Source organism: Homo sapiens, chromosome 2 (genome assembly GCF_000001405.40).
Source record: "Homo sapiens chromosome 2, GRCh38.p14 Primary Assembly".
NCBI lineage: Eukaryota > Metazoa > Chordata > Mammalia > Primates > Hominidae > Homo > Homo sapiens.
The window spans coordinates 72,525,495-72,546,817 of record NC_000002.12 but is presented as its reverse complement, the minus strand read 5'-3'; the positions used below and the strand labels follow the sequence as shown (position 1 = coordinate 72,546,817).

The 21,323-nt window shown below is 34.9% G+C and overlaps 1 protein-coding gene across 12 annotated transcripts in view, besides 1 other annotated feature; it reads left to right on the top strand.

Moving 5' to 3' along the window:
* EXOC6B (exocyst complex component 6B) overlaps nt 1–21,323 on the top strand; it is a 650,050-nt gene that overhangs the window by 279,216 nt on the left and 349,511 nt on the right. The gene's annotated exons all lie outside the window — the stretch shown is intronic.
* Nucleotides 567–808: a silencer, noted in NCBI's record as "fragment chr2:72773139-72773380 (GRCh37/hg19 assembly coordinates)". NCBI's record gives its function as "represses an EF-1alpha promoter that drives an FKBP-Casp9 reporter gene in an ReSE screen in HepG2 liver carcinoma cells {active_cell/tissue: HepG2}" and the evidence as "EXISTENCE:reporter gene assay evidence [ECO:0000049][PMID:32094911]".

Genomic DNA, 21,323 nt, shown 5'->3' with positions numbered 1-21,323 from the left:
AAATCTAAATCTAAAAGCATATTTCAAAGTGACCTTATTTCTGTGTCATAAATCTTTATTCCCTGAGCAGCCATTATGCATGGCAAGCTGATGACCTGTTTTTCTGTTAGGGGTAAGTTAGCCTCACCAGTTAAACTAATAGTTTTGTCTCCTGAATTCTTCTGCTTAAAGGGATGCAGAGCAGAGATTTAGAAACAATTATGAGAAGTGTTATTAATTGATCTCCCTGAGCATAGTAATTGTGTTACATTTCAGAATATGTTTCTACTAATTTGCTTTTAATATATTTTTTGAGGACTTGGCTATAATTAGAAGAAGTGAATCAGCAGCAGAGCTAGAATTTACTCATAATCTCTCTCTCTCTCTCTTTTTTTTGGAGATGGAGTCTCGCTCTGTCGCCCAGGCTGGAGTGCAATGGCGCCATCTTGGCTCACTCTGCCTCCTGATTTCAAGCGATTCTCCTGCCTCAGCCTCCCTAGTAGCTAGAATTACAGGCACGTGCCACCACGTCTGGCTAGTTTTTGTATATTTAGTAGAGATGGGGTTTTGCCATGCTGGCCAGGCTGGTCTCCAACTCTTGATTTCAGGTGATCCGCCCACCTCGGCCTCCCAAAGTGCTGGGATTACAGATGAGAGCCACCATGCCTGGCCATAATCTCTTTATAGTCCCTTATGGCCATTGCAGGGATATAGGGTAGAATGGTGTAAGATGGTCAATAATCTTCCTAGAACATGGTTCTCCCACTCTAATCTGAAGATTTCTACTGGTATAGTCTATACTGGAAGCTGGGAGAAACTACGGAAACCATAGTCATGTAACCAAAGATAATAGCAAGGAAAGGATTAGGAGAGTGGAAAAAGGAACAGACAGACATAAGCAGTTCTAAGTGATATGTTTCCTGAGGTGTTAAGATAATTTCTTAATGAAATTGTTTAAAGAACTTTAGTTGCTATTGAACATTACAGTAAAGCACTTGGGAAATAAATAACTCAAGAGTCTAAAATGCTACTGAAGTTTTCATTAAAAATCATTAGTTTTAATATTCTCAAAGTTAGACTTAAGATACTTTTGTAGTAGTATTTGAAGGGTTGTTGTTTATATATATTAACATAATAGCATCTTGGATTTTATATAACACTTTGCTGTGCAATTTCATAGTGCTTCATAAACTTGACTACATTAAATAAATGATGTGGTAAATATGGGGAAAACACCTCGTTATGTAGAGACTACCTCACTCTGAATTGTGTTATGAAATAGTTCCTTTTTGGCACCAGAGTGAAGATTTTAGGGTTCTTGTTCTTGCATTTTTACCAGAAGCACTGTTGCTATTTAATAACAAACAAATTTAGTGTAATTATTTAATAACCCATAAATTTAGTGTTAAGAATTGGAACATACACTTAAAGTTAATCTGAAGGATTGGGTGTATTTTCGATAGTCGATTTGATTTTTTTTTAAATGAAATACTTCAAAAAATGTAGTCAAACATTTTTGGTATATCTTGATATGAAGAAAATTGATTGGCAAATGAAAAAAAGATACACATCAGCCTCATATCATTTTTGCCAGTGCATCTCACCAACCATTGATCTGGCAGTGAAAGGTAATAAACAAATAGATCTGTTACTGGCATTTTAGCTTTTATTAAAATTGATAGTGCTTCCCATAGCCTAGTATTTTTTTAAAGAGGTGTCTTGATTCTATTTTAAATCTTGGAAATTTTAAAAATTAATTTTATGTAACTGTAGTAAATATCTGTTATTTGAATTCTCAATTTCTCACAAAGATACTTGAATTAACATCTAAATTGGTTTTTATATAAACACAAGTGGGGTCATTTACTATTCCTTTACTAGAAATTAAGGCAAATGGGAAATGCCTGTAAAAATGCAAAATTCTAGGTGCTTAGGGTTTGTGAATAAGTTTCTTTCTTTGTAAATATTTACAAAGATGACATTACAAAGATAGGGAACCAATACTTTATTTTACCAGTGATGAGAAATGGGAAATGGTGTATTTAGAAGTCTAGCATTGCCAGAGATACAATTTGATGATTCAGATCTTTGTAAAGTCATTTCTGGAGCTGTATTTGTAGGAAACACTAGTATCATCAATTTATCTGTTAAAAAATATAAAAGAGGGCACCCTCTCTTTCAAATGTCATTGAAACTTGGTGTGCTGTATTGCTGTCTTGGGCTTTTTACAGTTAATATTAGTATATTTAAGTATATTCTGAGAAGATCTACCAAAAAAAGAAAAGTTAAACTTTATTGAAGCAAGCACGTCCTAATACACTGAAAGATACAGAGATGGCAAGGACACTTTCTGCTCTCAAAAAGTTTCTAATTTAGTAGATCTAAAGAAAAGCTGCTTTGTAAGAGACCTGATGAGGACTCAGTTTTAAAAAAAATCCGTCATGTTTATTTGAAACATATACGTTTTTCTTGGGAAATAAGAAAAAAAAACATGGAGCTTTTAGTGGAAAAGCTTTCCTGAGAATAGTAATTTGAAATGAATAGGTGTCATTTTCAAATCTTTTGGGATATCATTGGTTTTAGAGAGGAATTCTGATGTTTCTGCCTTGAAATTTAGTTTTAAGAAATTCAGGTGACTGTTTAATGTTTCAGGAGTGGATATTTAGACACTATTCCTCTTGATCTGTCTGTAATTGTTTTATTTTCATTTTAAATGGACTTTATTTTCCATCTCAAAATATTCATCTGCTATTTCACAACATCTAAAACAAATGCAAGTTACACCTTTGAGGACCCAATTTATACTATTGGAAAAGAGCTGGAAGCTTTCTGATTTGTCTCCATGGTAATCTTGAGTATTCCTGAACAATAAGAATGTATTTTAAGTAGTTTCTTTAGAGATATTTTTTAATGTGGAAAGTTTGCCCTGAAATATTTGGTAACTCCTAGTCCGTCTCTGACACTTAACAGGTTGTCTGATCAGTCTCCTGCCATATCTTACTGCCTCCTAGTTTCACTGACCCACTAGTGCCTGGTGAGGTTAGATAGGCATAAACACTACATAGATCTTAGAGAAAAAACTAAGGGTGAGATACTTTGTGCACTGCATTGATAAGGACACAGGAAAAGCCAGTTACAGTGATAACTTTCCTGCACTATGGGCTAATGGGCTCCGGTTTGTAGTAGCTGTGATCTAACATTTCATAATTGTCATATTGCTCTTTTAACCTGGTGACCTTATTACCCATGGGCATACATATCATTTAGCCTTGAATAAAACAAGGCGGGGGAAAAAGAGAGAGTGTGTGTTTGTTTTGATCTCTAGACATGCTTGCATTCATTTTTCCAAAATGCTTACTTTGGGAAGGTTAAACTTCTCAAGTGTGCTTACCTTCTTTTTAATAATAATATCTCATGTAAATAGTTTTAGACACCACAATAATCTGATAACTCCTTTTCAAGCTCTGACAAAGAAGAAACAATTCATTTTCCATGTAACACCCAGTAATCCTTCTAAATACAATTTTAACCTTATCAAGACAGTGCTTAAAATATTTGTTTCCCATTTTTCTCAGAATAAATTAAGTTTTTTTATATAGTCTGTACAGTGTTCCATATTCTGTCCTTAGCCTAACTCTCTCACCTCATTTCTGGTTGTTCTTTTCCTCCTGCTTACTCACAGTTTATGCGCCAGATACACCATACTCCATGTGCTCTCACAATGATGCCTTGGCACAGGCAGTTCTCTTTCCTGAAACATACTTCTCATTTTCTTTCTTCCTTTTGGTGACTCTTCCAAATAATACCAAATTTCTTCCATTACTGAGATCTCTGGATTTTTATTTACAACCTTTTCTCCCTTAACTCAGATGTCCAATCAGATCTCTTACACATTTTGCTTCCTTTCCCTATTTCTACATTTTTTCCCTACAACCTAATTTGGTTGTAACTGCCAGATTTGTTTGTTCATTTTTAAATTTTCAAAATTTCAGAGGTTTTTGTGGCTTGCTCAAGATGCCCTTTATTACCTGGTTTAATATTTGTCCCAATAGTTTTGAATGTCATGATGGGGATACATAAATAACTACAGCCAGAGCCTCATGATCTAAACAGTGAAAGATCATATAAGGGAGAAAAGGAGTTTCTTTTTCTTTTATAGATGATTTTGGTCATTCAGCAGCATATACCAAAATGATCTTCTTACCAGAAACAAATACCATAGCTGGAGCTCATATTTATTTACAGTTGGTTATAGCAGGTGTAATGAAGGATTTGCTTTTTAACCAATGAATAGAATTGATTTATTTTAAATTGTGAAAGTTTGAAAAAGCTGAGTTTGGAACTGTAATAGATTCTTTACTTTTTCAGATTCTTATAACTCAAACCAACAATCTAGAGGTGAAATGCTAGAAACTCCAGAGGTGAAACTGAAACCAGCAATCTGGAGGTGAAATAGTTTAGGGGCTTAATACTGGACTAGAAGCTCAGTCTCTTCGCCTGTCCCTATTCAAGACTTTCTCAGGGAATGTAAGCAAGATCCATCTCATTTTTTTTTTACTTCAGAATCTTTAACTAGAGTTTCTGAAAATCTAGAATTCTGGGTTATTCTCACCACATAGAAGGAGCTGAATAAATAATTGTGAAATGAATGAATGAATGCAGTACTTCAGAAAAGTACTATGTGAAAAATTAAGAGACCTGTAAAAGGCTATGAAGTATGCTAAGAAGATGTAGTTATTTTGACTGAGGTTAGTATAGTTTGTTGTTCTATTAAATGGAGTGTTAATAACTAAGGTTAGAGATTTCTCATTGCCCTGAAATTATAAGAAATGTTGATATACTTTTTACAGTGTGAAAATGAGGTCAGCTGGGTGTGGTGGCTCACACCTGTAATCTCAGCACTTTAGGAGGCCAAGGCAGGCAGACTGCTTGAGCCCAGGAATTTGAGACCAGCCTGGGCAACATGACGAAACACTGTAAATAATAGTATTTATCTCACAGTGTCTCTACGAGAATGAAATGAAAAAAGTCTATGTAAAAACACCTGGTGTAATAGCTGGGAATATTACTAAATCATAAAGAAACATTTCTTTTCACAACCTGAACACACTCCACCTACACCTGCCTCCTCACCACATATTCATATTATAAAAAGGACTTTTAAAGAATGCAATGAGAAAGGAAAAAGACTAGGAACTAGACTAATATGTGTGTTGACATAGATCCACAGATAAGCAAGAAAACCTGTACATTTCCATAACCCATCCACATTTAATGTTACCTTTATAAAAATTATAATCTAGAGATTAAAAAACCATGCAATGTTAGGAGGAGAAGGGCTTTTGTATAACCTCTATGAATGCACTTAATTACCAAGAGACTATAGTCTAGGGGCCAGAAAGAGAAAGAAGGAAGGAAGAAAGGGAGGAAGAAAGGAAATAAAGGAAAAAGGAAATAAGGGGAGGAAGAAAGGAATGTTTTTCACATATTCTGTATTAGTCCTTTTTCACATTGCTGATAAAGACATAACCCAAGACTGGGAAGAAAAAGAAGTTTAATTGGACTTAACAGTTCCATATGTCCGGGGAAGCCTCAGAATCATGGCAGGAGGTGAAAGGCACTTCTTACATGGCAGTGGCAAGAGTAAATGAGAAAGAAGCAAAAGTGGAAACCCTTGATAAACCCATCAGATTTTGTGAGACTTATTCACTATCATGAGAATAGCATGGGAAAGACCAGCCTCCATGATTCAATTACCTCCCCCTGGGTCCCTCCCACAAAAGGTGGGAATTCTGGAAGATACAATTCAAGTTGAGATTTTGGTGGGGACACAACCAAACCATATCAAATGCCAGTCACAAAAGATAAAGAAAAGCTGAGGAATTTTTCAGATTAAAAGAAGCCAAGGAGATAAGACAACGAAATGCAACACATTGTCATAAACCTAGGATTTACAAACTTTTTCTGCAAAGGTTGTGATAGTAAATATTTTAGGCCATTGTGTCTCTCTCATAGCCACTTAATATTACTGTTACAGTGCAAAACATCCAGACATACTATGTTAATTAATTAAGTGGTTGTACTCCAATAAAACTTTATTTACCTAACGGGTAATGGAATGGGTTTGATCCATGGGCCATGGTTTGCTTATCCCTGTTCTAGAGTGAATCCTCTACCTTTGGGAAAATACGCTATAAAGGATATTTTTGGGTCCATTGACAAAATTGAAATGTGGGCAGTAGATTAGAAAAATGTTAACTTTTCAGAAATTTTATTCTGTGGTTATGTAAGCAATTATCCTATTCTCGGGAATGCACAATGCAGTGTTTAGGAATAAATAGATATGATACATATAACATAATTTCAAATGGTTAAGAAAATATATATATGTAGAAAATGATTTGTATGGAGCAAATGATACAGCATATGGGGCAAAATATTAACAACGTGAATCTGGATAAAGGCTACATGAGTTTTTTTGGTACTCTCCTTATAATTTTTCTGTAAGTTGAAATTTCTAAATAAAAAATTAAAGTACCCAAAGGACTATAAATCATGCTGCTATAAAGACACATGCACACGTATGTTTATTGCGGCACTGTTCACAATAGCAAAGACTTGGAACCAACCCAAATGTCCAACAATGATAGACTGGATTAAGAAAAGTTGGCACATATACACCATGGAATACTATGCAGCCATAAAAAATGATGAGTTCATGTCCTTTGTAGGGACATGGATGAAATTGGAAATCATCATTCTCAGTAAACTATCGCAAGAACAAAAAACCAAACACCGCATATTCTCTCATAGGTGGGAATTGAACAATGAGAACACGTGGACACAGGAAGGGGAACATCACACTCTGGGGACTGTTGTGGGGTGGGGGGAGGGGGGAGGGATAGCATTAGGAGATATACCTAATGCTAAATGACGAGTTAATGGGTGCAGCACACCAGCATGGCACATGTATACATATGTAACTAACCTGCACATTGTGCGCATGTAACCTAAAACTTAAAGTATAATAATAATAAAAAAATTATATTTAGTCATATATGCAGACTACACACACGCGCGCGCGCGCGCACACACACACACACACGCATAGCCCACAGGAAAGGAAAAGATATAAGAAATTTTGAAGCTCTTTTATACTCTCTTGATAAGATACCTATAAAAAAGAGAAAAGTTAACCAAAATATGAGTTGAAATGAGAATCTGGTGATTAATGTAACAAGGAAAGCCAGCAAACATCATCCTTGGCCTAATCTGAATGCACTTAGTTACCAAGAGGCTGTAGTCTAGGGGCAAGAGGTTTTAGTGCAGTCTAAAAGTGATGTTGGGAGCCACATTTTCCAGACTGCAAAACACAGGGTACCTTGTTTAGTCAGCACAGTTTAGGTCAAATGTGGTTATGAAAAACAGATGAATTCTGGTGATCAAGTTGTACTTTGACAAATATCCCATTGTTTGAACATGTAGTAATTTCTGAAAAATGTGAAGCAGCTTGGACTGCAGAGATTGAGTTCTCTCTTCTCAACTCCCTTGCCTGCTCACAAAGGTCTTGTCATCGTGGGGAGTAGAAATAACAGGGCAGAAGAAGTATGTTAGATGCTCCCCTCCCCCTTCTTTTTTCCTTTTCTTTGCTCTACTGGCAAATCAAGCGTTCTGGGTAGGCTGTTTTGTCAGCTGGAGGTCTTGCACTACTCTGGGGTTTTGGGGCAGCTTTTGTGCTTCAGTTTTGTGGATACTGCTGTGTTCTAGTGAGTTAGATACTTTGAACTTATCCCATTGATCAAAAAATGGTACTTGAGGTTAGTGAGGCATTGTTATATGTATTTCACTGGCTCCTCTGGCTGTGATCTGAGAGTCGTTATTTCTGCCAATGCCTATTCCCAGCTCAAGCGGCTCATCCATAGAGTTCTGTCCTACAACTTGAGAACTACAGTAGTAACATAGCAGGCCAGAGATGTTTGGTGCAGAGAACTATACATAGAGTGAAATCCTCTCTGTTTGATTTGTCTATTTATATATATGTTTGCATTGTACTGTATTGTTGCTTCAGGATGTCTCACTTCATTTACTTTGTTCATTCATTTATTCAATAAATATTTATTGCGTACTTCTAGTATGCACAACACATGGTTTATTGTTATGGCTTTGGACAGAGTTTCTCTTCTGTGTGGTTTAGACTGGTGCTGTGCTATCTAATGTGGTAGGAACTAGCCACTTGTGGCTTTTGATTACTTGCAGCATGAATATTCTGAATCAAGATGTGCTGTTAAGTGTAAGATACACACCAAAGACTCATCGCCAAAAAAGGAATGTAAAATATTAATAATTTTGATTTGCATACTGAAATAAGATTTTTGATATATTAGGCTAGATAAAATATATTATTAAATTTAGCATCACCTGTTTTTTACTGTGGTTACCAGAAGATTTTAAATTATATATTGTGTTCATATTTGTGTCTTACATTATATTTCTGTTGAACATCGCTGCTTATCAGATATCAATGAATATATAATGAACCCTTAGCATTTTATCCCATCTCTCTTATAGTGAAGAAATTTCTTGGGCAGTGGCTCACACTTGTAATCCCAGCACTTTGGGAGGCAAAGGCAGGAGGCTTGCTTGAGGCCAGGAGTTTGAGACCAGCCTGGGCAACATAGCGACACCTCATTTCTACTAAAAATTAAAAACAAAAATTAGCCGGCTGTGGTTGTACGTACCTGCAGTCCTAGTTACTTTGGGAGGTGAGGTGGGAGGATTGCTTGAGCCCAGGAGTTTGAGGTAACTAATGGTGAGCTATGAGAATGCCACTGTACTCTAGCTCCTGTCTCAAAAAAAAAAAAAAAAGTCTTAGTCATTTCTAGTGCTATTATATTTAACATTTTCGTAAAAGAATGTCAGCCATGATTTTATTGAGCCCTCTTTTAATCTTCTTTGAATTTTGATGATGGTCAATACATCTCAAAAATAACATCAATTTTTGTCAACTTGATATACCGTATCTGAATAAATTTAAAACCTTGGTGAGTGTCTCTGGACAACCTGATTCATTAATAAGAACCTGATGTTTATAAAAGTAATCAATATGACCCAGAAATCTTCGTGCTTATATCTCCATCAATTCCGCTAGAATTTTTATATAAGCTACTCAGAACTGTAAGGAAAATCTCCATATATATGTATTTTTTGAGAAAGGGTCTCACTCTGTTGCCCAGGCTGGGAGTGTAGTGGCATGATCTCAGCTTGCTACAGCCTTGAACCTCCTGGGCTCAAGCAGTTTTCCCAACTCAGCCTCCAGAGTAGTTGGGACTATAGGCACGTGCCACCATGCCTGGCCAGGTGTTTGTGGGGTTTTTTTTTTTTTTTTGTATTTTTTGTAGAGACAGGGGTTTTGCCATCTTGCCCAGGCTGGTCTTGAACTCCTGGGTTAAAGTAATACGATCCACCTGCCTCAGCCTCCCAGTGCTGGGATTACAGGTGTGAGCCAGCCCGCCTGGCCTGTTTTGTGTTTTTAACTGTTCTAGCTACAGAGAAATTAGGGCATCTGTGAAAAATCTACAAGAAAGATCTTACTGGATAACTAAACTTTAGAGGGATTCCCAGTAAAGTCAGGAAGAAGATAAAGACAAATGCTAGGACAAAGATGCACACTACTACCCACCATGTACATTATTTCCAAAGTCTTAGGATGAGGGAAAAAAAAAGGAAAGAAGATAGATGGGTTTAAAAATCAGCAAAACATACACAGTAGCATTTCTCTACGTTAATTATATCCATGAAGAAACTTCTAAGAGGTTACATAGAAATTAACCTAAAATATGTACAAGACCTTTATGATGAAAATTTCAAAATTCTTTAAAAGGACATAAATGAAGTGCTGAATAAATGGAGAGTGCTAACTCTTCATAGATAGGTTCTTCATACAATGCAAAGTTGTTAATTTCTCCTCAATTTAATTTGTAAAATCAATGATCTCAAATAATAGTGTTAATAGGAAGTTTGTAGTGACTTGGGAGACTTTTTTCTGATTCATCCAAAGTTGCTGTGGTGTATAGGCTAGTAGTGGCTGGCTGTCAAGACTTGAGGCCACATTGTGATGGCCCATATCTCAAAGAAGCTCTCTTATATTTCTACAAGGAAAAGTTTATGAGGATATTTATTTTGACAGTTATTTTGGTACTTATTTTTTCTGGTAGCCAAGAGGAGAGGCAATTAATTGAGGTATTCATTACTGGAGGAATGGGTTAGTGAAATTGGTATTTACAACCCCAAAAATATGTACATCTAATTTGTATCAACAAAAACCTTTACAATTTTAAAAAAGTGATGGTAAGATATTTAAAAATTGGTATTTACATATGATTGAATGCAATATGCAACATATAGCAAACAATTATAAATAACAAACAATATTCAAATATGGTAATATATACATATAGATTTCAGAAATATGATGCTGGGGGGATCAAAGTAAGAAATAATACAGTTGACAGTACAATCTCATTTATATAAATTAAAACAAACTCAATAATACTATACATGTTTATTTTAAAAGCATATTTTAATAGAAATAAATATAAAATGTTGACTTGAATGACGTATCTTATATTCTCAAATGGGTGGCTGTACTAATGAGGGGAATGGGATTGGAAATGGGACATGAATGAGAACAAATTTAAAAATAGCAAGACTGCATGCATCAGCAATGTATCTTGAACTGAGGGAACATTTTAAAATCAATCCTTTATATGTGACTCCCTATAAAAAGTTAATAAAATGCTTTAAACTGTTTCTGCTTGAGTGTCATATTATCAGAGATATCCCATTAGTATTTGTCAAAAGGCTGTCACTGGGATTTTCCTATAACACTACTTTTAGCCTGAACATCTTGACAGAATTTCCATAAAACACTGGTGGAAGATTTTGTATATAATTTTTTTTTTTTTTTTTGAGACAGAATTTTGCTCTCGTTGCCCAGGCTGGAGTGCAATGGCGCAATCTTGGCTCACCACAACTTCCGCCTCCCCAGTGCAAGTGATTGTCCTGCCTCAGCCTCCCTAGTAGCTAGGATTACAGACATGCGTCACCATACCCGGCCAATTTTGTATAAGTAGAGATGGGGGTTTCTCTATGTTGGTCAGGCTGGTCTTGAACTCTCGACCTCAGGTGATCCGCCTGCCTCAGCCTCCCAAAGTGCTTGAATTACAGGCGTGAGCCACCACACCTGGCCTGATTTTGTATATTTCTTATCTTCCTTCTGTGCAACTTGAAAACCAGCAATTCTTTTTAAGGCCTTTAATGCACACGTCAGGCCACACAAAAAGTGGTTTTCCTTACCCATTTTAGAGAACCAATATGAAAAGACTTTGGTGCTTACAGCATGGAGTATGTACCCCTCTAATATCCCTAATATGAATTCTTAGTCACCACACATTCTTTGAAGTTCAGTCTTTCCACAGAAAACAACAAAAACAACAACAACAAAAAACTAAGTAACTAGTGCTTTAATAGAACTATACTTTATTCATTTCGCAAATATTTGTTGCAGGTACATTTTATTCTGTACCTGTGGGTTTCAAACCAAGTAGCACAATAGACTCTGAAGAGGTACATCTAGGGATTCCTTTCTTAAAAAAAGAGGTCCTTGCTAAAAACTTGAATGGTATTGAGGAGTTTCTTGTTCTTAAAGAGTATGTGTTAAAATAGGCAAAGAGATGTATATGATCTGTTTACCAAGTTTAGTATTTGCATTTTAGGCTTTTTATCTCTAGTTAATGGGAAACACATTCCTTCTTTGAAATAGTTTTGATGGAGGTTTCCTGAAACCACTTTAGGCCTGAAGTGTGACTTAGTCTTAAAAGTGTGATTTGAGGGAGGGGAGAGTTTTAGAAGGAAACCTTCATCCATTCCTGGAAAAAAGAAACCAAAAGCTACACTTGTCTGGAAGTGGAGACTATGGGACTAAGCAGAAAAAACTGCATAGAAAAGAATAGTATAGTAGAAATAACATGAGATAATATCAGAAAACAATTGCATTGTTCTCAGTGATCTTTGTAACTTTGGCTTTCAGTTTTCTTATAGTGACAGCAATTGCAACATAAAGAGTTGTAGAGAAGAATAAATGAGATAATTAGATTGTTTTTTATAAACTCTTAGCTATCACTATGCCTACCTAGTACATACTAGGTATGACGAATCTTTAATGTATATTAATTCTTTATAATAAGAATTTCTTCTTAAGCGTACGTAAAGTTGCCTCTTCTACTTCCTCAAACCTTAAATCCAACCCTTACCTCAATCAAGCCTCTTAGGTAAAATTTATTTTTATGAAGTATAAAGTTAAAGTATATCATCTTAAGTTTTAACTGTATGCCTTTTAAACCTGAAACATAGATTATTTCACTCTTCTTCTGTTTTTTCAATATAAATTCAAAGTACTTATCCCCTGTGGCCTTTGTGAAATATTCTTTATGAGCATGGCACGCCCTGAGGATGTAGTTTAATTTTTAGTGCTATATCTATCTCCTCCTCAAGCAGTTCTTGAAAGTACAAAACTAGAAAATAACCAAAGTTATAACATGCTCATTAGAAGGAAGAATAATTTTTGTCATTTTTTTTTTGGTTTGACCCTACATAGTTATAGCCGTAAGCTATTTTATAGTCAACATCCCACACTGCTGAATCCTTTCAAATTTAGGAGCTTTGTATTTTCCCACAGCACTTTCATACATACTTTATCTCATTGAGTCTCACTATGCCAATCTGACATACACAGGTTTTATAGTGAATATCTAATATTCACTTGATGGTTTAGGGAATTGAGGTTCAGTGAGATTAATTTATCTGCTCAGTGGATCACAGAGATAGTGACTGGCAAAACTTGGATCAAAGCCTGTTCTTATGAGTCATATTCGAAACCTCCTTTTACTTTATAGTATCATTGATGTTTCTGTTACAGGGGCAAATACTGTGCAGTTAAGACAAAGACTTTTTCTAAAATGATACATTCTGAAGGTACTATTAAAAAATAAATACATTGGCATTATTTTTCATTAATTTTGGTATTTGAAGTGTGAGGAGAAAGAGCTGTTTATACAATATTTAATGAAATAATGTTCTTGGTAGTTTCTGGAAAAACTACACTAAAAATTATAGTCATGCCCTACCTTCTAATATTGGCAAGAACTTGGAAATCAGATACAAGGACCTGGAGAAAGACAGTCATATAAACCACATTGGTTTTGGCTTAGAAAAATGACTGGGTAGTGAGAGATGATGGGCAAATATGTTTAACAGTTTGCTTCAAAGATTGGGAGTGTTGCCTTATGAGAAACTCTAATAATGTGTTAGTGTCATCATACAAGGTCTCTTTGGGCCTGTCAGAATTCTGCAACTGTGATGTAAAATTTCAGCCTTGCTGAGACAGTTCTCTAAAGTTCATCCTAAGGATTTATTTTTAATGAGAAATTATCCTGTGCTCTCTGCTCTTCAATGTAGACCTGACTTGCTTGGGAAAATCAGGAGGGGAGGGGCAGGTGCTAATACTGCTGTTTTGAAAGGATCACTGCCAGATTTAAGTTAGGCACAGCCAAGCTCATTCTGGACTAGTCTTAGAGTAGATCATCCTTCACTGAATTGCCAAATAGCCCTCATAATGCCAGGTTATTGTGCAGTTTGTTCCAGGATCAGGCTGCATTTGGGTCCTCCCATTCAGAAAAGAGCAAAAATTTCCCCTCTTTCCAGGCATTGCTTTAGTACCCTCTTAAGGGAGACCTTCAGATATTTGACTATTTCAAAATAACTTTTGTTGAAATTTAGGAATAATTTTAGGGAAAGTTATTATAGGTAAATTTATTTCTACTGTGTAGGATGTCTTCTGATGCCTGAAGTCATCCCACATAGTTATCCCAGAGTTGTGTTACTTGATAGCTACTATGTCTGTAGTCACAAATGGTAGATGCCAGAGTCAAAAGCATTGTTTTTTTTTTGTTTTGTTTTTTGTCGTTGTTGTTTGAGATGGAGTCTCGCTCTGTCACCCAGGCTGGAGCACAGTGGCGCAATATCGGCTCACTGCAACCTCCGCCTCCTGGGTCCAAGCAATTCTCCTGCCTCAGCCTCCAGAGTAGCTGTGATTACAGGCGCGCGCCACCACACCTGGCTACTTTTTGTATTTTTAGTAGAGACGGGGTTTCCCCATGTTGGTCAGGCTGGTCTCGAACTCCTGACCTGGTGATCCGCCCGCCTCGGCCTCCCAAAGTGCTGGGATTACAGGTGTGAGCCACCGTGCCTGGCCTTAAATACTTTTGTCCTCACTTATCTGATTATCATTTTAGGTAAAATTATTAAATTGAATTAAAGGAAATATTCATTTAAAGTTTTCTGATACCTACTAGCCACTCAGAAAAGTCAAAACTTTGCATTCCTTAGAAAAAGAATTTTGGTGTATGGTTTTACCATACTCTCAACAATACTGGGTATTGTATTGTTTTCTTTTGCTAATTTGGTAGGGAAAAAATGGTACATTGTTAATTTCACTTGCATTTTTGAAATGACTATTCACTGTGGACATTTTTCTAGTGTTTAGAGGCCATTCATTTCCTTTTTGTATATGCATAGAACGTTTATGTTTTATTTATTAAGATAAATACTTTTTTGTCTGATACGTATGTTTTGAAATTCATGCATGTTGTTGCATTTATCAGTATTTTCCCTTTTGATCCTGGGGTGATATTTCATTTTATAAATATTGAAGAACATTGGGCTGTTTCCGCTTTGGAGCTTATAGCAAATCAAGCTGCTATGGCATTCTTTTTTATTTTTATTTTTATTTTTTTTGAGAAGGAGTCTCGCTCTTGTCACCCAGGCTGGAGTGCAATGGCACAATCTTGGCTCACTGCAACCTCCACCTCCTGGGTTCAAGCGATTCTCCTGCCTCAGCCCTCCCGAGTAGCTGGGATTACAGGAGTCTGCCACCACACCTGGCTAATTTTTGTATTTTTAGTAGAGACAGGGTTTCACCATGTTGGCCAGGCTTGTCTTGAACTCCTGACCTCGTGATCTAACCACCTTGGCCTCCCAAAGTGCTGGGATTACAGGTGTGAGTCACCGTGCCTGGCCTGCTATGGCATTCTTACACAAGTCTTTTAAATGGACCTAGATACTCTTCTGTCTTGGGAAATTACCTACTCGCTATCATTTTGTTGAGGATTTCTAGATTTCCACTGAAGTCAGATAAAATACCCTGCATATTTTAACACTTTGAAACTTAAGGAGATTTTCTTAATGGTCTAGCATACAGTATAATTTGGTAAATGTTCAGTATGCGCTTGAAAAGAATGTATATTTTACAGTTGTTAAGAGTGTTCTATAAATGACATTTTGATTTGCCGGTACTTTCTGATTTGGTGCTGACAGTATGTAGAGAAAATATTTCAGACAATTGTATTATAAATGGAGGAGGATAGAGATGTAAAGGGAAGTAAGGTTTCTACTCTTCCCTGGAACTGGTAAAATGGAAACACCAGTATCCTATGGTAAATTATGTCTATATAATGTAATATCTACATTAACCACAAACAAATGTATAAATAGATACACTTGAAAACACTACAAATAAATAAAAATGGAATTCTAAAAAATGGTTATTTAGGGAACCCATAGGAAGGCAAGAAAAAGGAAGCAAACTAAAAGCAAAGAGAATGAACATAAAACAACACAAAAAAACCTGACAGATGTAAGCCCTAACATGTGAATAATTGTATTGAATGTAAATTATCTAAATATATCAATAAAAAGGCAGATATTGATAAAATGGATTAAGACATATTGTCTATAGAAAAATCACTTTAAGTATAATGATATAGGCAGGTTGAAAGTGAAAAGGAAGGGAAAAATACAACATGCAAATGTTGATCAAAGAAAAGCAGAATAATCTCTATTAATATAAAATGAAGTAGACATCAGAGGAAAGAAAATTACCAGAGACCGAGGTTTATTATATAATGGTAAAAGGGTCAATCCATCAAGAAGTTGTATAACCCTAAATGATAATGATTATGCCCCAAACAACAAAACTGCAAAATATGTGAAGTAAAAACTAATAAAACGGAAAGGGTAAATGGATGAATCACTGTTATAGTTGAAGACTTCAAAACTCCTAAAAATTGATAAAATGACTGGTCAGGATTTCAGTAAGAATATAGAAGAAATAACATCATCAACCAATAAGATGATAAACTGGCATTTATAGAACACTGTACATAACATCAGTAGAATACTCATCCTTTTCAAGCACTCATAAAACATACTAAGTCAGAGCATATCCCGGCCAAACAGACCTCAACAAATTTTGAAATCACACATAGACCTCAATGGAATCAGACTAGAAATTAGTAACACAACGATAACAAGAAAATCTCCAAAACTGAAACTAGATAATACACTTACATATAATGCCTGGGTCTAAGAGGAAGTCTCAAAGGAAATAAAATTGTATATTGAACTGAATGAAAATGAAGATTTGTGGCACACAGTGTTTGAAATGAAATTTATAGCACTAAACTGTTTACACTGGAAAAGAGTAAAAGTCTTAAACGAATAATGTAAGCTGACATCTCTAAAACCTAGGAAAAGAAAGGCAAAATAATCCCAAGGCAAGTAGAATGAATGGAAGAATAATAAGAGCCAAAATCATTGACATTGAAAGCAGGAAACAGTAGAGAAAATCAGTGAAATAAAGAGATTTTTCCCTCTAAAAGATTTATAAAATGGACAGACCTCCAACATGACTGACAAAGAAAAGGAAAGAATAAACAGATTATTGATATTAGACATAAAACTAAAACAGGGAATATCAATAGAGACACTATTGATATGGAAAGGATAATAAGAGAACACTGTGAACAACTCTACATACATAAATTTGACAGTGTAAAAGACATTGGTTAATTCTCTGAAAAACACAAACTATCACAATTCACCCAATATGAAATGGATAATTTGAATAACCCTATGGCTATGAAGGAAATTGAATTAAATAATTTAAAAACTTCCCTCTAGGACTGGGCACAGTGGCTCACAACTATAATCCCAGAACTTTGGGAGGCCGAGGGAGGAGGATCATTTGAGCCCAGGAGTTTGAGACCAGCCTTGGCAACATAGTGAGATCCCATCTCTAAAAACAAACAAACAAACAATCCAAAGAAACAGAAACTTCTTTCTGAAATCTTCAGGCTCAGATGGGTTCCCTGGAGAATGCTACCAAACATTTATAGAAGAATTAACACCAGTTCTATAGAATCTCTTACAGAAATCAGAAATGGAGGGTACACTTTCCAATTCATTTTATGAAGTTAATACCCTTAAGGTAAAGCCAGGTAAAATTAATATAGAAAAGGAAACTACAGATTAATATTCCTTGTAAATATAGATGCAAAATTTTTAAAACAAAATGTTAAGTAGATTACAGTAATGTATAAAATGAATATATGACCAAGTCAGGTTTATTTCAGGGATGTGTAAAGAAGAAAAATCACATGATCATATCATTTGATGCAGAAAAAGCATTTGACAAAATCCGAAACACATTCATGATTTAAAAACAACAAAACTTCTTCAGCTGGATAAAAAACATGCCAAAACCCCGTAGCTAGCTTTATATTTAGGGGTGAAAGTCCAAATGGTTTCCCCCTAAAATTAGGAGCAAAGCAAAAGTATCTGCTCTCACAACTTTTATTCAATATAGTGCTGGAAGTTTTATCCAGTGCATTAGAGCAAGGAAAGGAGATAAAGGGCATGCAGAATGGAAAGGAAGAAATACAACTGTGTTATTTGCAAATAACCTGCTGATTGTCTATATTGAAAATCCTCAAGAATCCAGTACTAGGACTAAGAAGTAAACTTCCTAGTACTAATAAGTGAGTGCAGCAAGATGGCAGGATATAGGATAACATACATCAATCAATTGTTCTTCTGTATACTCACAATGAATATGTAGATACCAAAATTTAAAATATAATATTATTTATGATTGTTTAACAAAAAGAAATACTTAGTTTCAATCTAAGAAAAATCTCCAGAATTTGTATGCTGAAAACTACTAAATGCTGATCGATAAAATCATATATGTAAATAGATGGAGGGACATACTGTGTTTGTGGATTGGAAGACTTAACACAGTAAAGATACCAATTTTTCCTAGGTTTTTACAAAGATTTAATGAAATTCCTATAAAGTTCCAGCAAGCTTTTTGTAGATACAAACAAGATTATTCTAAAATTTGTATTGAAAGGCAAAATAGCTAGAATAGCTAAGACAAATTTTAAAAAAAGAAGAATAAATTGGAGAAATTAACTCATATAATTTCAAGACTTATTATGTAGCTATAGCAATCAAGATGGCATGGTATTGGCAGAGTCTAGACTGTTAGATGAGTGGGACAGAATAGAGAACCCAGGAATAGATTCACAAAAATATTAGACAAAAATAATTCAACACATAGTGTCAGAAGAATTGAACAGCCATAGACCAAAGAGAGAGCGAGAATGAGCGTGATAGAACTTTGAGCTAACCTCCCATTTTATGCAGAAATTATTATTACATTTTATACAAAATGGATTATGAACTTAAATGCAAAACTATACAAACTTCAAACCATTTAGAAAAAAATAGGGGAAAATCTTCAGAATCTAAGGGTAGGCAGAGTTCTTAAATTTCCCTCTAAAAGTACTAACTTTCTTTCAGTGTAAAAGAAAAAAATTGGATAGCTGAACCTCATCAAAATTAAACACTTTTACTCTACAGAAGACTCTGCTGAGGGTAAAAGATACAGTGGAGTGGGAGAAAATATTTGCAAATCATATATCCAGGAAATGAGTCCTTATGTATCTAGAATATATAAATACTTTGAAGAACTCATCAGTAAAACAAATAAACAAAAAACAAAAGAAACAATGCAAGTAGGAAAATGAGCAAAAGACATGAAGAAACAATTCACCGAGGCAGATATACTGATAGCATATAAGCACATGAGAAGATACTCAACATCCTTAGTTGTTAGAGGAATTAAAATTAAAGTCACTACACTGCTATAAGAATAGTGACATCAAATGCTCGTGAGGTTGCTGGTAAGAATATAAAATAGTATAATGTAAAATGGCATAGTCACTCTGGAAAACAATTTGGCAATTTCTTGAAAAATTAAGCAACAACTTCCATATGACCTTGCAGTTGCACTCCTAGGCATTTGTCCCAGAGAAATAAAAATAAATGATATGAAAATAAGTAGATTTCAGGCAGTAAACTACACAGGAGTGTTTATAATAGCTTCATTTATAATAGCCCCAAACTGGAAAACAACCTAGATGTTCTTTAACAGGTGAATTGTTAAATACCTGTGGTACATTGATATAATAGAATACTACACAGCAATATAAAGGAAAGAACTATTGATATATGTAACAAACTGGATGAATCTCTAGAGATTTATGCTGAGTGAAATAAGCTAATCAAAAGAGGTTACATACTCCTTTCCGTACTCCTAAAAACTTAACTGTATGTTTTAAAATAACTTAAAAAGTGTAACTGGATTTTTTGCAACTCAATGAATAAATGCTTGAAAGGATGGATACCCCATTAATTTCATTTTTGTAACATTCTTAAAATGACAAAATTATATGTTACATAGAAATGAATATGGAAATGATATAGAAATTGAGAAGAGGTTAGTGGTTCTTAGCAGTGAATTAGGAAGTAGAGATGGAGAGCAGTCGATATGGCTATAAAAAGACAACTTGAGGATCCTTGTAGTCTGGAAATGTGCGTCTTGATTTTATCAATATCAGTTTCCTGGATGTGAATATTGTGCACAATATAGTTTCCTAAGATGTTTAAATTTGGGGGACTGGATAGAGTGCACATGGGGTCTGTCTCTGTTATTTCCTATAACTATATGTGAATCTATAATTAATTATAATGAAAAATCTGAATAAAAATTGCTGATGAAGCAAATTTTATTCAGCTTTTAGTTTGCTTTTTTCTCTTCACCTGTATTCTTACATTATTTACCAGATATAGATCTAATATTTATCCACTTTCTCTGTTTTTACATATTCTGTCTCATTTTCTGAACAGCTGAAGTTCAGTATGACAGATTTATTTATTCTTAGATTCTAAATTGGTCAGTTTCTGTACAGTTTCTGTTAATGAGGGGAGTGAAGGAATAGATTATTTATACGAGATTTCCCCAACCCTCACTTAACTATACAAAAGGCTATTTTTGTGTGTGTATGTGTAGCAAATGTGATTTTGAGATGCTGGGAGAAGCCATGTGTCTTTAATAAAATATCCATTACATACATTTATATATCATAAAAATAACATGTATAGCTCTCAGTTTATAAAGTACTTTGAGCCTCAGATTTTGTGCTTTTCCTGGCATTGACTTCCTTATGTACATGGGAAGTCACTTAGAAGCTATATGCCTAGTTTTTTTTTTGTATAAAATCTTATACTGTACCTTCTGTTTAAGCCAGTACTTTCCATTATGAGGACTATTAACAATCTCTCACTGCCTTCATCTGTAACATGTTGGTATTATTTTAATTTACATTTTTAAATGCCACATTTTCCTATTGGCCCTTTAGAAATTGTTCAGAGCCTCTATTCCTTTTGGCAACGTGAAACAGATTAAGTTATTTGTCTGGAAAATTTTAAACTTCCAAACTGTGAATTACCTTAGCAGTTTAGAAGATTGACAAGTGTAAGTTAGGTCAGAAAAGACTTAAAAATTGGCAAGTGTGAAATTGGGTATATGAATAATAACTTTAGAAAACTACCAACTTTTGGAATAGTTCTTTGGAGAAAATATAGAAAAGCCTCATTTTGTTCATGGTAATAAAAGCAATGACTCTCCTTTCTCATCATATGCAGACACTCAGTTAAGAATTTTTGGTGTCCTATTTCTGGGCAAATAATTTGGTTTATTTCTGTTCTCACATACCCTTAGTTGTAACTGGTATGTTATGGACCGCTGAAGAAAATGATGGGATTTGGGGGTGGTGGGGAGATGTAATTTTAGTCTTAATGATTTTTTTAAATAGTAAAATAACTTGCACCTTATTTGTTTTATATTAAAAATGTTCTTGTCTACAAATTGATTAAATCATATTCTTTGAATAATTAGGTAATTAAGGTGCACAGTTATATGCAGATAATTCAGGTTAGGGTTTCCCTAACAAAAGGGATACTTATCTTAAAAGTGAAATCCAAATTTTTTTTCTAATGAATTAACCTTCATCATTGAGGAAGTCTGCCTTTGTTGTTGTTGT